The sequence below is a fragment of the Homo sapiens genome, chromosome 6 (genome assembly GCF_000001405.40).
Source record: "Homo sapiens chromosome 6, GRCh38.p14 Primary Assembly".
NCBI lineage: Eukaryota > Metazoa > Chordata > Mammalia > Primates > Hominidae > Homo > Homo sapiens.
Window position 1 is genome coordinate 52,022,759 of NC_000006.12, and position 16,991 is coordinate 52,039,749.

At 39.0% G+C, this 16,991-nt stretch overlaps 1 protein-coding gene across 21 annotated transcripts in view, besides 1 other annotated feature; it reads right to left on the bottom strand.

Annotated features, from left to right (window-relative positions):
* Positions 1–16,991, bottom strand: part of PKHD1 (PKHD1 ciliary IPT domain containing fibrocystin/polyductin) — a 472,317-nt gene that overhangs the window by 407,460 nt on the left and 47,866 nt on the right. For 19 of the 21 annotated variants that reach the window (XR_001743469.2, XM_017010944.3, XM_017010945.3 and 16 more), the window contains 6 exons: positions 12,833–12,963; positions 10,272–10,407; positions 5,398–5,593; positions 5,071–5,138; positions 1,816–3,423; positions 43–186 (listed from right to left, as the gene is read on the bottom strand). Coding sequence is in view for 20 of the 21 variants with exons in the window: in XM_017010944.3 (XP_016866433.1) it covers positions 43–186; positions 1,816–3,423; positions 5,071–5,138; positions 5,398–5,593; positions 10,272–10,407; positions 12,833–12,963 (2,283 nt within the window). In the remaining variant the exon portion in view is untranslated. The remainder of the gene's footprint in view (positions 1–42; positions 187–1,815; positions 3,424–5,070; positions 5,139–5,397; positions 5,594–10,271; positions 10,408–12,832; positions 12,964–16,991) is intronic. The other 2 variants (XM_011514683.4, XM_017010947.3) reach the window with 2 other exon arrangements.
* Positions 1,292–2,491: an enhancer, noted in NCBI's record as "MED14-independent group 3 enhancer chr6:51888848-51890047 (GRCh37/hg19 assembly coordinates)". NCBI's record gives its function as "activates an origin of replication core promoter dependent on BRD2, BRD4, P300/CBP and CDK7 cofactors, and independent of MED14, by STARR-seq in HCT116 cells {active_cell/tissue: HCT116}" and the evidence as "EXISTENCE:reporter gene assay evidence [ECO:0000049][PMID:35650434]".

Sequence of the window (16,991 nt, forward strand, 5' to 3'; positions counted from 1 at the left end):
TATATATGCTTTAAAATATATGTGTGTGGCATCTTTACTCACCATCCAGGGGCAGAACCAAGCAGCTGAAGGCAGACACTGTAGCATTAGCCAGGACTCGGCAGGGAGCACCACACACAGCAGCTGAGACATTCCCTGGAGAAAATCCCGCTCCAAACACATGCACCAGCCTTCCACCCAGGCAGCCTTTAAAGACAAAGGTACAAGTTCTTGATCATACAGGCAAATCTCCCTTCTTTACTCAACTCAAAATTCAAACATTTGCTTCCTCACTACCCATTCTTCTTTTCACATCCTCAGAATCCGCACAACTGGCTTGAGGTGGCTGCTGGCCTCAGTTTCCTCTCCACTTAGGCTCTGGCCTTGTCTGACTCCAATCACATTCAATATCCTATTGTGTTAAAGAGGTTTTTTTTTAATGTAACAATTTTTATATGGAAAATTAATGCTTATTTATAGTTTTTAAACTTTTTATTCAAAGAGCCATAAAATGAAAATAAAAATTCCCCCAACCATCTGACTCCCTCCCCGGAGGTACCCAGGTATAGAGTTTCTTATGGCTCCTTCCAGAATTTTTAAGCATCTATGTTTCTGATTCAAAGCATTATTCTATCCATATTATTCTGGAACTTGCTTTTTTGCTTCAAAGTATAGCATAGATGTTTTTTCAAAACTCTATGGATCCAGTTCATTTTAGTAGCTACTTAGAATTCCATTATAGGGCCCTGCTACAATTTATTTGACAATTTTCCTATTTATTGAAATTTCCATTTTTTCTCCTCTTTTGCTATTGTTAATAGTGATGCAATAACTGTACATGTTTTGGGACATTTGTATGAGTAAAACCAGTCCACATTTCTAGTTTACACTGAGATACAGAGTTCCCCTCACTACTGCCTTCATACCAGGTCTAGGTGGTACTTAGCCACTTGACTAACTCAAAAATAATGCTTTTGGTTTAAGATGCATTTCTTATTTCCCTGCTCTTCCATCATAAAAAAACATGGAATCTTAGGGAGTAGTGCCTTTATCAAATAAGGAAGCTGAGTCTCAGAAAAGTCAAGCATAAATTAGCAAAATTAGTGATAGACTAGAGCCAAATCCTAGTCCCCACAGTGTTCCACCAAGCTGAGACCAAATTTTTTCTAAGAAATGTCTTAGTTAGTACTCCAACAGTCTAAGATTCTGTTTCTATAGTTTTTTTCCTTACTTTCTAAATCACAACCAAATTTGAACTATCTCAAGTGCAACAAGGCTTTAAGTGAATAGAAATTGAAAGCTTTTCTTCACTGGAGGGAAAGGCTAGGCAATTTTTGGTATATCTAAACGGAGAAAACAGTCCAACCAATTTAATTGTTCTGTGCATTTGGCTTATTATTGTTGAAATATGAGTCCACCTGTGAAATATTACAAAATGATAAAAATTTAATCATACTTAATAAATTTTAAACAACGCAAATTGGCAGATAGGGTCTAAAACTAGGTGAAGGCATTTACGTTCTTAAATGATCAAATTATGAGCTCTTACAAATGGTGTTATTTAATTTAAAATACAAATCCAGTTAATGCATCAAATTAAAATACAATCAAACATTTAGAGAATATGCACAGTTTCCTTGATAAAAATAAAAAAAATCTTCATAAACAGAGCATAACAAAGACAAGCCTCAGGAAGGAATTGGGATTGTAAGAAGCCAGTGGGCTTCTCTTTCCTTCCATCAGGCAGATTGTGTTAATTTTCTACTTTCCAGAAGTGAAAGGAGCTACCAATTCATTTACATAAAGAAAGTGTGCTGTCTTATTTGCTTGACTTACCGAAGTTCTCCGTCACTGCTGTAATAATAACTCTTGAGGTGAACACCAGGGCAGATGAGGCCCACCCTCTGATGCAGTCATAGCCTCTGACGTGGTACTCCCCGGCCGGAAGGGAAGGGACCACGCACTGAAGAACGGTGTGGTTACCAGAGACACCCACACAGGGTGACATTCCTATAAAAATGTCAATGTTTGCAGCTCCTGAGATCTGGGCCACTGCAAAGGTTAAGATGTCATCGCTCTGAGAAATAGAGATCAATTCTGGGGTAAAGGCCTTGTTATAACCAATGACTCCTATGTGATACCAAAGTCCATCTACCTCTATTTCCAGGGCAACAGAGCCATTCCCTGTGGGAACAATGCACCGGATGAGCTCAGCACCGATGTTCACCGTCAGGCAGGTCTGCTGGTCAATATAGACTGACGTGGTGTTCTGTCCTCTCAGGCCTGTGCCCTCTATGGTCAAGAGGCTTCCACCATGTAAGCTGAAATTCTTAGGAAAATAATGAAACACTTGGGGCATAATGTAGAAGTGTCTGGAAACATTACCAGAACAAGCATACCCATTTCTTGTATAAAAAACTGACAGGTAGTGGGGTCCTGGGGCCAAGTCTCTTGTCTGGCACACAACGTGGCTTGCATTAAAAAAAGTTACATTGCAAGGAAGTTGATCATCCACAAATACCATCGGCTCATCAGCTGTGGTGGCTAACCTCTGACCCCTAATCAGCACAGTGGTCAGAGACCCACTGGTGTTTGTGGACAAGGCATCCATGACAGGACTTGCCTCTTCCCTTATGAAAAGAGTGCAATTCCCCTGACACTCGCTGGTTAGCCCATTGACCAGGACTGTGACGTTCAGGGAGAAGGAAGCTCCAGGCAAGGGGTCACCCTCCAGGCTAACCTGGCAGAGAATGGTGTGGTCTCCCAAACTCAAAATCACACAAGTAAAAGGACCCGAGAGGTCAACCCGAACTGACCTCCTTCTAGAGTTAAGAAGCAACCCCCTCACAGTAAGTATGGTCCCACCACATGCCGAACCCTGCGATGGGAAGATGGCCATTATCCGAGGCATCACTGCAAATTGCTGGAGCACCACAGACATATTAGCAAATCCCATCTGCTTCTGACGTACTTGGAGAGGATAGATGCCAGCCTCCAGACTGTGAAGAGGGATGGAGCATCCAGACAGGCTCACGTTGCCCTGGAAGGACTGTGTCTCAACATCACAGTTCAGGTTCCCCAGAAGGATGACTGAGTTGGAGAGGTTACTTCCTCCCACATGCAGGCTCAGGCTGCTATTTGTGATTTCTCCTTGCATGGCAGTGACTACTGGTGTTGCTGCCGCTTCATACATGAAGGTGAAGCCTTTCCCCACCAAGCTTGGTGAAGGACCACGGGCGAAGAACCTGTTGCCAGCCCAGACCTCCACGGCAGCTGGAACAGTGGGAGCGCCCGCATCGGGTATCTGGGGGGCTGGCAGGGTTTCACACCAGATGCTCGCCTCCGTTAAGTTCACAATGTCACAGGACCGATTGCCCACAAGTACCCAAACCAAAGCTGGGTCCCTGCTGAAGCCTATTCCTGAGATGCTGAGGATGGTCCCTCCTAAAGTATGAATACGGAAAGCAAAATATTATAGCTGATATTCTGAACTAAGAATTCATAGCACCTGTGGAAGTCCTAGGTCAATTAAGTGGAAGGTAGGGCATGTGTTAGTGAAACCTCAATTATTTTTTCTCACCCCCACCAAAGCTAAATTTGTGATTATTTAGACAGGAGTCAGATGTGGTAAATTCACATAACAGTAAAATAATACAAATTGTTATATAGGAAGGACGTCTTCAACACAAACTTTTCAAGTACCTTTGTATATCCCAGAAGCCACCACTTTAATCAACTTACACACTAATGAAAAATCAAATTTCTTAGTCTTCTTATCATGTATTATATTATTGGAAATATTATCCTGTATGCTATATATAGACTATTTGTACATTGTCCTGTATACATTCAACTTATATGCTAATGAAAAATCAAATTCATTGAAGTCTTCTATCATTTATATTGTTCTATATAATATTCCAATATTCCATATATTATACATTCTAATATATTCTATTTATTGTACCATATATTCTATATTCCATATACGTGAGAGACATTAAAAGTCATTGAATCTTGCTGGTGAATTTGCTGCTACCTTCATAGAATCTTTGCCTTACTCTCCAGTAGAGAGGCCACCAAAGATCAAACCCCATCTTCAGGACAGGATTGGAGCAACATGACCCACAGCATAACCAAACTGTACAACGTGGCTTTTAAGAGGATTTTACTATACCCAAAAAGGATAATGTGCTATCTTACACATGATCACAACTATTATTGACATGCCACTAGATTGTTTTCCATTCTTTCTGAAAATAGTTTTAGAGATTGGTCTATTTGTCTTGTTCTTCCATCTCCCATATCAGCATGTGTGTTTCTATTTCTGAGTCTTTCATCTGTCTCTCTCATGGAAAGTGAAGACCCGCAGATTCAATCCTCCCCTCCTTGCATGCACAGCATCTAAATGGCGAATGCAGGACATGTTGCCCTTGTTTTTCTCATATCCACTCTAGAGTGTCACCCATCAGACGTTTCATCCTCTTTTCATTAGAAAAGCAGGCACATCTCGGCTGGGCACGGTGGCTCATGCCTGTAATCCCAGCACTTTAGGAGGCCGAGGTGGGCAGATCACCTGAGGTAAGGAGTTCAAGACCAGCCTGGCCAACATGGTGAAACCCCATCTCTACTAAAAATAGAAAAATTAGCCAGGCATGATGGAGGGCACCTGTAATTCCAGCTACTTAGGAGACTGAGGCTGGATAATTACTTGAACCCGGGAGGCAGACATTGCAGTGAGCCAAGTCAGCACCATTGCACTCCAGACTGGGCAACAAGAGCGAAACTCCGTCTCAAAAAAAAAAAAAAAAAGAAGAAGAAGAAGAAGGAGAAGAAGAAAAAGAAAAAAAAAAGAAAAGAAAAGCAGGCACATCTCCTTGTCATAAAAATTCCTTAATTTCCTGAGCAAATGAATCACCAAGTTTTAACACCCTTTTAAAAACACCCCTCAGTTCCTGGAGCCCGAGGAAAGTTTCTCTCCTGTTTCCCCTCTCTCTGACCTCACTGGCAAATTAATCCAGAAACAAAATCTGAATATCCAGCAAATAGAATTGCTGGATAATTGATAACAGTCACATAAGAGCCACTCACCCAGCAGGGACCCACAGCAAGGCTCGATGCTGAAAACTTCTGTGAGGTACTGGATGTGGAGATCAACCCTACAGAAGATAGGCAGATGTTTAGGAAATAACTGACAGAGAGAGATAAGAAAGAGTAAGCCAGAAGAGCCATATGTATTTTGAGGAGAAGAGCAAACTGTCTGTAAGTTCTCTAAGATTTGTTCCAATGTTATGATGTTCATGTCTTTAACCTCTAACTTCCAAGGGAAAAAGAAAATACCTAACTCAAAATTAGAATTACCTAGCTGAATGCTAGACCATCAAACAAATCCAAAATTAATGCAAGTGGTCACCTCACCCTTGTGAGTGAATGCTGACCCCATTGATAGAGACGGAAATTCTGTGGAGACCAGCTGGCAGTGGGGGCAGTGCCACCTCCAGGCCCCAAGCCGACTGTGTGTGAACCGGAGCCAAGGCATCCTGGACGTGGACTTCCACATCCAAATCCGTATAGTTCATCAGCCTCGCCACTCCAATGACCAGGGTCTCACCGCCTGTGTTGAGAAGAATCCAATAGCCTCTGACATGTGGGGTTTGTGGGCTCAACCATCTATTCAATTCTAAAACTGTCTTTTTGGATTAAATTCACAGTCACCCCTATGCATAATACTCTTAAGAGTTACGATACCAACCTAAATTTTTCAAGAAACTTCTAACAACTATTTTTTTTTTTTTTTGAGACAGGTCTCATTCTGTCACCCAGGAGTGCTGTGGTGCAATCTTGTCTCACTGCAGCCTCAACCTCCAGGGCTCAAGCAATCCTCCCAACTCAGCCTCCCAAGCAGCTGGGATTACAGGCATGTGCCACCACACCCAGCTAATTTTTGTATTTTTTGCAGAGACAGGGTTTTGACATGTTGCCCAAGCTGGTCTCAACCTCTTGGGCTCAACCAATCTGCCTGCCTTGGCCTCCCACAGGGCTGGGATTACAGGGGTAAGCCACCTTGCCTGGCTTAACAACTCTTTTAACAGAGATATGGTCTGTAACCTCAATAGTATAAAAAGAAAAATTGGCAGGACAATTGTATTCAAGAGACACTAACTTATTTCCATGCAAAGGCAAATCAAGAAGTTTGCAGAGCTAACGGTCTTTATAACCAGCAAAGAGCACCACATATTGGTTGCTTAACCTCCACTTTTCTACTGGTAGAAGTCTGAAGCTATATTTGAGTGTGCACTGAACCTTACAGTAATGCTGTATGTGAGTTTAGTAGCTCATAACTGACAGAGTACTTTCACGTATGTTATCCCACTTGGTCCACACACTATCCTGATGATTTATATGGGGCAATTAATATGACTGGTATTTTGCATTTGAGGAAACTAAGCTCAGCAGCCACAGCCTCATAGCTATTAATAATTACTAAAAAAGAAAAAAAAAGGTCAAGACCTGAGCCCAGTCTTTTGTCTTGCATTTCAGTGTCCTTTTAGTTTAATTAGCAACTCTATTAAAATGTGTACACTATGAACACTTTCATGCAATTTCTTTTAACTCAAATATTTATTGAGTACCATAAGGAAGATGCTGCAAGGGGCACAAAATAAGTTAAACACAGACTCTGCCCTCAAAGAAGCCTCAACGGTAGTAAAATAGGTGACAAAATTGCTTCAATAAAAGATATACTACAAGAGAGGTGGAAATTAAGCACTGGGATTGCTCAAATCAGAGCAACATTATGAATATCAGGAAAGATGGAATGGGCAAGATGAGAGTTGAATTGGAGCTTGAAAGATAAATCCAAAAAGAAAGTCATAGAGAAAAGGGGGCTTATCATTTATTTCTAGAAATTTCACGGTTTTATCCAAAGCCTTTCATAGCAATTTCTCACTTAATCACCCAGTGGCTTGGAGAGGAAAAAGAGAATTGGGTGATGTTCTGGAAGGCACAGGTAGGGTTCTGTTTTGGGGATAAGCCAAGTTGATGGTAGTCCTAGGGCCAAAGACCAAGAAAGCCAAGCCAGAGGGATGTCTGCTTAACTCAGTGGACGGCAGTGACCGCCAAAGACTTGTAAGCAAGGAAAAGATATGATTAAAACTGTTCTTCCAGTCTTTAAGATAAATTGAAAAGATAGGGGAGGAGAAATCCAATCTGCAGACAATTGTAGTCTTAATCAAGTAGACCAAATCAAGTGGGCAACAGCAGGAGTGGAAATAAATGTCCTTACCTTTCCTGTGTCCCAGTGTGGCCACTGAAACATGGCTTGGGCTAAAGCATCTCTAGCTCCTTTAGCCTGTAACATTTGAGGACTACTGCAGAGCTGGTATCTATGGGATGCCACGGCCAATTAGATGAAGAGGAAAAAGAGGTTGCTTGAAAGAGAAAAGTCAAAGAAGAGGGATGTGGTGTGGTGGGAAGACTATGAATCTGCATTCAAATCCTTGATCTGCCATTTTACTACCTCTGTGACTTTGGGTGATTTACTTACGGCTCTCAAAGCCTTGGATTTTTCATCAATAACATGGTTAATAAAGCCCATCCCATGTGGTTTGTTAGATATCCTGGGAAAGTATCTGGCATGATATAGCACACAAAAAGGCCTTAATTAACTTCATTTTCTTCCTCGTTCCCCATTCTCTTGACCGCATGTCTTCCCAATCTCTACTGGGAAGTCTGAAGCTTCAGTGTAGTGAGTTCAAGGGATTTCAGGGCTGATCAAAGAAAAAGACATGACTACGAGGTGACAGTAGCAAAAAACAAGCATTATTTGGGTGGTATTTTGACAGATTCACAGAGGAGGAGGAAGTCTCCCAGCATGAGACCTTCCAGAGGCAACAGTATTGGGCCACCATCCAGAAAGGGAAGAAGGCAAGGGAACTGGGAGGGGGTGGGAAGATGAGAGAGGGGGGTTCTGTGTCCAGATGATGTCACTCAGCAGCCTGGTGGGTAGCCTCTGGGACAGAGAGCTCCAAAGGCATCAGCGGCTTAGGGTATTTTATAGCCCCAGGGTTTTCTTACCTACAGCTGACTGATGGGTGCAGTTTCATGGGGCATGCAAAGCAAGAGGAATTTAAATGGCTAAAAATATGCTTATTTTGGCTACGCTGAAAACAAGTGGATGTGTAAAAGTTTGAATTTAGCACTGGCAGGCTTTTGAGCTAATGGATCCTGGGGTGCCATGAAGAAGTAAAAAAAAAATAGGACCAATAGGCAGGGCCTTTCTTTGGCTTGTTTATAAAGCATTCAATATCTGGCAGAATGATGGCATTCACTTCAACAAAGATTTATTGGTGCTTACTCTATGTCAATTCCTGGACCAGGTACTTTCATCTGCTTTATTTCCTATTTTCATGATTACCTTGAAAGAATTATTCCCACCTATCAAATGAAGGAACTGAAGATAAAAGAAGTTAAATATCTTACCCAAGGAGTATGGTAAGTTCAACTAAGTTTGGCCTAAGGCTGTCTCTGTACCTTGAGTCTCTACATAAAGAACTGCAACCCAACTTTGTGATAAACTGAAAGCCTCAACTACCTGAGCCTCAGTTAATCACAGGCTGCCAACTGATCAGACCATGCTCCAATAAGGCAAACAGGGAGCTGTTTCTGGCCTCACTTCCATTTTCTGTCTATAAATGCTGCCTGCCCATGTGGCATAGTGGAGCTCTCTGAACCTTTTCTGGTTCTACAAGTTACTATGATTCTTTGTTCAAACAAACTCTGTTAAATTTAATTTCTTGAAAGTTCTTCTTTTTAACAAGTGGTTGAGCTGGGATTCATGCAGATTCCATTTTTCCTGACTGCAGAAACCAACACTAATGGTCCTGCACATCAAATTCACCAGCACTCCCCATCCTTGGTCCCTCTTATGCTTTTATTTTCATTTCATCTCAGCCTCACGGTCATCATCAACATCATCTCTTGGATGGAGATGTGCAGCACTCCAACTTAAAAGAGGCATTCCCAAAAGGCTACGACACTTCGTGGATTTTATAACATGCTCCTTTTTATTCTGCTTGTAGAAAGATTTAAATACAAGTATAAATTTTGAAAAGAATGCATTGCATTGTATGTATCAACAACATAACTTTTGGAGCACTTGGTCAACTGTCAAGCTAATCCTAGATGCTTCCTTGGCACTGATATAATGTATTTATTCTTTTCATTACAGATAAGAAATTTTATTAAAAGCCAAAATCACTGAAATCTGAATATAACATGGAGCTCCCCCTCCCTTTTCTACCTCATCAGGAAGAATCTGTACCACTAAGGAATTTTACACACTTCAGTCACCTGGGGCAGCAAATTCTTCTTCTGCATTATCTGAGCTGAATAATATTGGAAGCTAAAGGACACTTCTCTTTATTTATGTACTCTTGAGCTATGGAAAATGAAAATAGTGCCAGAAAAATTGAGTTCAGACTTTTTCTTTGGGAAATATGATGGTCTTTTTACAATAAACCCTTAGATATGGCTACCACAAACCCTGTTATCTGGCATTCAGTTCACCAGAAAGGGAAGTTACCTGCTACTCTTCCAAATCTATATGGAATTACATGATAATAAATTATTATAATTCTACCTTGCCATATCCTCTGAATCATCAAAGAAAAATTCTTTCATGTAGTTGGTGCTAATGAATCCATTATTTTTATACGTAGAATGTCTCAAGAAACAAGAATTCTAAGTTAATCAGAGCATCCTATTCTCTAATCATATTAAATAACTGCTACAATAGAACCTGCTGTCAAAAAGCAGTATTTTACAGTTAACTACAAGTAGATAAGTACTTGGTATATACAAACAGATGACCTGTGTTCAAATCTTAGATAAATTACTTATTCTCTCCATTCCTTAATTTCCTGATCTGTAAATTGAAGCTAATAATCCTATAAATTAGGGGCAAGGATTAAATTACATCTATTTTATGTTTATGCTATCATTATTGACACTTACTAAATGCTCAAGGAACATATTTTGAATTGTAACTTTTGAATTCCCACATCCTTTTCATGATGGAAATGGTCCCATCTGTACAATGGTTCCATTTTACAGATGGAAAAGTAGATATCAGGAGATTGATTCGATGATGGCTAAGATGAAAAAAGCAATCTCCTAGCTTTCAAGAAAAAACTTAAATCCAAAATACAATAAATTTCAGAGGACATTGATTGCCCTTTTTATAGGACCAATGCTCTAAGAAGAAAAAGATCTTGCAGTATCACATATTTTACCTGCTATATTGCTTATGTTTCTGCTCAGAGTCACAATAACTGGATTTAAGGAAGAGACATATGTAAATGCTCTGGGAAGAACTGCAGAATAGTCCCCTCTGATCACAGTCACATTCACAATGCGTCCATCTTTCCCCTGAAAAATCAATTTTAAAAATTAAACCTCAGTTTTATTTTAAAGTAGGACTGACTTAAGGGAAGAGAACTCCATATAGAATTAGTTTTAAAAGTTAATTTTAAGAAAGTTGTTCCTAAAGGGTATATTTCCTACTTCCAAGTCTCTCTCTTCTCTACAACCCTGCACACTCTCCCCATCCTGCCCCCACACCCACAACACAGAGTGATAAGTGCTTGGACTAGTAGGCAAGTGCAGTGTTAGATGCATAATGACATGCTGTAAGGGGTAAATAAGAATTATTTGCAATTAACACACCAATTGTTTCTGCAAAAATATGGCAATTTCAAATAAATGTCTATACCTAGCTAAACTATCCATCAAGTATGAGAGTACTTTCAGACATGTGAGAACTCAGAAAATTTCTCTATGACACACTCTTTCATAGGATGTACTTATGGTTATTATCTCATAAAATAAATAATAATTTAAATATATATATATATCTGAAACCCAAGAAACAGTGACTACTCAAGAAAGCAATCAAAGTAAGTACTAGGATAAAATCTGTAGAATAAACCTAGAAAATAAGCAGGCTAGATTGAAACAGGAGAACAGAGATAGCTTCAAGGAAAATGAATGACTGATACGATGGAACTTTTTTTAAAAGATATTGGATTTAACTTATAAGAAAGACATGTTAGCCAGGCACAGTGGCTCACACCTGTAATCCCAGCATTTTGGGAGGCCGAGGCGGGTGGATCACCTGAGATCAGGAATTTGAGACCAACCTGACCAACATGGAGAAACCCCACCTCTACTAAAATACAAAAAATTAGCTGGGCATGGTGGTGCATGCCTGTAATTCAAGCTACTCAGGAAGCTGAGGCAGGAGAATCACTTGAACCCGGGAGGTGGAGGTTGCAGTGAGCCGTGATTGTACCACTCCAGCCTGGGCAACAAAAGCGAAACTCTGTCTCAAACAAACGAACAAACAAAAGACATGTTTAGAAAATAAAATAGGAACTCTAGGGGAAAAAAAAAAAAAAGAACTATAAAAGAAAAAAATATACTACCCGGTTCTGCCAGCATCATCTAAATAGTTAGAATAATATAAACAGGTTTTATTAATTTAAGATAAAAATGGTATTGTAACTATATTTGAAAGAATTAAAAGTTGTTTCAGGAAGGGGGACTTGAAGAAGGGGGAGGAGGGGCAGGAAAACATAATTTACTATTTTCCTTTTAACCTATGCATCTATCACTTGGATCAAAAGTAAAATTTATTTTTTATTAATGTTTATGTTCTCTGGTAAAAGAAATTAAGAGGTACATGTCTTACCCATTAAAATGGCAAATATATATTAAAATAATAAAGTGATAACCCAGTATTGGCCAAAGTGTCAAAAATCACACACGTGCACAATGATGGTGGGAGTATAATTTGAAAGGGAATTTCAGACAACTGGATACTACATATCAAAAGCTTTAGAATTTATATTAATTTATCCTGAGAAAAGAAATGTACCCCCAAAACATAGTTATTAGGATGATTAAAGCCCTGTTGTTTACAATAAGAAACATTTAGAAATTATCTAAGTGTCTGGTAATAAGGAATAGTTAAACAAATTAGAGTACAACCACATATTGGAATTGAATGTAGTGTACATATAAAAGCTAGCTTTTCATAATATTTAAGGAACTAGATGAGATTAAAATGTAGGACTAGTGATCAAAGAATATTTTGAAACTTATCTCCCAGGGGATCTTTATTTTGGGGTCATGGGTGTGCTAGGAATGTTGATGCTGCTTAAGTCAACTCTAAATAGAAAGTTCAGTGGCAGCAGTGCGTGTGACTCTCCCCAACAGTACCAGGGAAGGACCCAGACTCAAATCCCTTAATAGGCCATGATATAGCACTAATTGAAAGGAAAGGAAGAGGTCAGGGACTTGTTTTTAAGGGGAAAAGGAAGCAATGGAGAATAACTAAGAAGATATTTCTTAGAAATCACACACTCTAGAAGTTTCTAAGTTCTACAATTAATACCCATACTAGAAAACAAAATTGCTGATGAAAACTAAGTTATTTGTTGTTTGCTTAATAGAGAAGGGAGACTTTGAAATATATAAGCCTTGCAAGCCAACACCCAGAATGTGCACTAGCTAAATTTATTTGTTACGTGTCACTAATACTTACTGACAGTACAGACCAGAACTGCCTGGTTGTCTTCTTTTTAAGAAATTAATTGATGTTAATTACAAGCTCCATTGGTGGGGTCAGTTTCCCACTTCATAGCAAAACAGACAATATAACTACTACAAGCATACTATCATAATGAGAAGTTTACATCAGTTCATTTAGTTCTAAGAAGTGATTCACTGAAAATGTTATATTAACAGTGGTCACTCACCCAGAGAGAAAGAGATATGAAAGGAATCCACTTACCCTGGGTGGAACTTTGCACTGAATTCTGCTTGAATTGCTTGTAGCGACATTGATGGCACACGAGTAAGATCCAAATAATATCAGGCTAACACCTTCCAAACTAGAGCCTCGGATGGTGGCCCAGAGCCCTCCTGTAACAAAAACAGCATATTCAAATGGGATCACCAACCATACAGGCAGACAAAAATTAATTATGCACAAGATGGATAAAATGAAATTAAAATATGAAACTCCTTAGTCAAAACAAAGGCAATGCTCAAACTGCAGGAAAAAAACTGGAGTTAAATATATAAACTATCATATAGAAAGGGAGAAGTAGTGACAGGAGGGCAGAGAGAGGTAGCACTGCATCCTGAAGTCTTTTAAGAATAAAACCTAGGAACACAATCGTGCCACAAGTCTGAAGAGGTAGTCTCTGAAAACTCTTCCTGGCCTAGATTTTGAATATCATTCCTGCAATCCTATAAAACATATTCTTTTCCTAAGAAACCAAGTGCAACAGAGCATCATGGTGGAAGGAACAGTGGCTGAGAGTCAGGGTCAGGGCCACAGATTGCTCAGCTACTTTTAGCAGGTCATTGCAGTATGGTCCCTGAGCTGAAGGGTCAACATTTTCCTCATCTTTAAATAATAATGTTAGCCCTTCCAGCTTTGTGGTTTGACACTACACATACTAGGTTCAGTTCACTGTGAAAATATAGAAATGAGTGGCATCACTGCCCATCGCCATCAGAATTTCTCTACTGATCACTAAAGAGCAACCACAGAAATCCCCATTTCTTCCCTGCAGATGTTAGCAAGAAGAGAGTTGGCTCCAGTTCTGCTATCATGGCACACGTTTCCATGTGGAGGAGCAGCCTTTGATCTAGCTAATGTATAATGATTCTGGTCTGCCATCTCCCAGATACAAGAGAGGCAGTGAGGCCACCAAACAGCCTTACCCCCCCTTGAGGGTGGGGAGGGATGCAGAAGCAAGACTACTTTCAAGCATGTTGGGGACAGAAAGGGGAATCTACAAAATCTGATGAAAACCTTTGAGGACAGTGTGACTCGGTGGACTAGTACCCTGAAGTTAAGTGCATAACTAAGAGCAATATACAATCGTGATATAAAATATACAATATCTGGAAGCAAACTTCAAAACAAAAATTAAGAAGATAAAAAAATTGAAAAAATATTTGAAATACTCTTGAAGAACTTAATGGATGGATTAAAACTTACATAAGAAAACTAAAATAAATGGATCGAAAGAGTGAACACCATAAAGGTGACATATCTTTATAAATTAAAGCATAAATGCAATTTCAATAGACATATAAACAGAATTTGTACTTAAATTAGACAAGCTGATTCTTAAGTTTAATGAAAAATAAACAAGAATAGCCAGAAAACAAAATTTCAAAAAGAAGTGTAAAGAGGTCTTCTGCCATATCTTATACAGTAACTATGGTATCAACTATGTGGTAAAATAAAATATAGTCCAGAAGAAATGCAGATCAGTATGAGGCTATAGATTAGGATATAAGTGACATTTCACATAAGTGCAAAATAAATTATTCAGTAAATAAAATAAGTAAATATCACTGAAAAAAAACTAAATTTGAATTTCTACCTTATATGCTTCACCAAAATAAATTCCCAATTTATCAAATATTTAAATATTAAAAAGAAAGTTTTTTGACTAGAAGGAAACATGGCAGAATTTTTATTTTCATATAATTTCAGAGTTGCAAAGTCTATCCTAAGTATTTTAGAAGTCCTGAAGCCATAAAAGGAAGATATATTTTATTATGTAAAAATTAAAAATATTTACGAATTTCCAAAATAAAAAACAAAGAGACAAATGATAATAAAGGGCAAATATCCTTAATACATAAAATGCTCTTTAAAATCAGTAAGAAAGAACAATAACCCCATTAGAAAAAATGGGCTAAGGAGATAAACAGACATTTCACTGAAAAGGAAACACAATGCCCCTAAACACATGAAAAGATATTCAATTTCTCTCTCAATAAAATAAACACAAATTAAAACCACAATGAAATATTCTTCTTCTCCTATAAAATAGGTAAGTGTCAAAAGGGTTGGGAACACACCGTGTTAGTAAAATGTGGTAAATAAACACTCATATATGCATTGTTGCTTAGGCAATAAATTATGCAACCTCTAAAGAGAATCTTTTGATATTTATCAAAATTTTTAATGCAAATAACCTCTTGACCCAGCAATTCAACTTCTAGGAAATTATGCTACTAATATTTTTGCACATGTACAAAATGGGACAACTCCATATACAAAATAACAAAGTTGGACCCTGTTTAGGGCTGAATTATGTCTCCCACATCCCCACCAAAATTTAGGTTATTACCCTAGATCCCAATAACTCCAAATGTGACCTTATTCAGAAATGGGATCTTAGCAGATGTAATTAAACTAAGATGAGGTCACACTAAAAAAAAGATAAGCCCTAATCCAATATGACTGGTGTCTTTATAAAAAGGGGAATTTGGGCCAGGCGCAGTGGCTCACGCCTGTAATCTCAACACTTTGGGAGGCCGAGGCAGGCAGATCACAAGGTCAGGAGTTCGAGACCAGCCTGGCCAGCATGGTGAAACCCTGTCTCTACTAAAATTACAAAAAATTAGCTGGGCATGGTGGCTTGTACCTGTAGTCCCAGCTACTCAGGAGGCAGGAGAATTGCTTGAATCTGGCAGGCAAAGGTTGCAGTGAGCTGAGATCGCACCACTGCACTCCAGCCTGGGCAACAGAATGAGACTCGGTCTCAAAAAAAAAAAAAAAAGTTGGCAGGGGTGTGCAAGGGGGAAATTTGGACACAAGCAAGACACAGGGAGGATACCATATGAAGGTGAAGGCAGAGATTGGGGTGGTGTTCTACCAGCCAAGGAACACCAAAGATTGCCTATAAGACACCAGATGTTAAGAGACAGACATGGAACAGAGTCTTCCTCAAAGTTTGGTTCAGAAGGAACCAACACTCCTGACACCTTCATCTCAGACTTCTGGCCCCCAGAATTATGGGACAATAAATTTTTGTTGTTTAAAACACTCAGTTTGTGGTACCTGATTGCAGCAGCCCTAACAAACTAATACAGACCCCTACCTCATACCATGTACAAAAATTAACTCAGAATGAATCAGGTACCTACATCTAAGAGCCAAAACTATAAAACCCTCAGAGGAAAACATAGGCATAAATCTTTGTAACATTGGATTAGGCAATAGTTTCTTAGATGTGACACCAAAAGCACAAGCAATAACAATAAATATAAACTGGACTTCAACAAAATTAAAAATTTGTGTGCTTCAAATAACACTATTTTTAAAAAGTGAAAAGGCAACTCACACAATGGGAGAAAATATTTGCAAATTATTTATCTGATAAGTGATTAGTACCCAAAATACTTTAAGAACTTACACCTCAACAATAAAATGACAAATAACTCAATTTAAAAATTGGCAAGATTTGAATAAGCATTTCTACAAAGATGTATAAATGGCCAATAAGCACATGAAAAGATATTCAACATTTTTAGTCATTAGGAAAATCAAAATCACAATGAGGTATCATCTCATGCCCATTAAGATGGCTACTGTGAAAAATAATAATAACAAGCACTGGTGAGGGTGTGGAGATATTGTGATATGGTTTGGCTCTGCGTCCTCACCCAAATATATCAAATTGTAATTCCCAATGTTGGGGAAGGATCCTGGTGGGAGATGATTGCATCATGGGGGCAGATTTCCCCCTTGCTGTTCTTGTGATAGTGAGTGAATTCTCAGAAAACCTGGTTGTTTAAAAGTGCATAGCGTACCCCTCTTTGCTCTCTCTCTCCTGTCACTATGTGAAGATGTGCTTGCTTCCCCTTCACCTTCTGCCATGACTGTAAGTTTCCTGAGGAATCCCCAGTCAAGCCTCCTGTATAGCCTGCTGAACTGTGAGTCAATTACACCTCTTTTCTTTATAAACTTTCCGGTCTCAGGTAGTTCTTTATAGCAGTGTAAGAATGGACTAACACACATTGGAACCCTCTTATATTGCTAGTAGGAATGTAAAATTATGCAGCCATTTTGGAAACAGTTTGGCAATCCTTCAAGAAGTTAAACATGGAGTTACCATATGACCCAGCAATTCCATTTT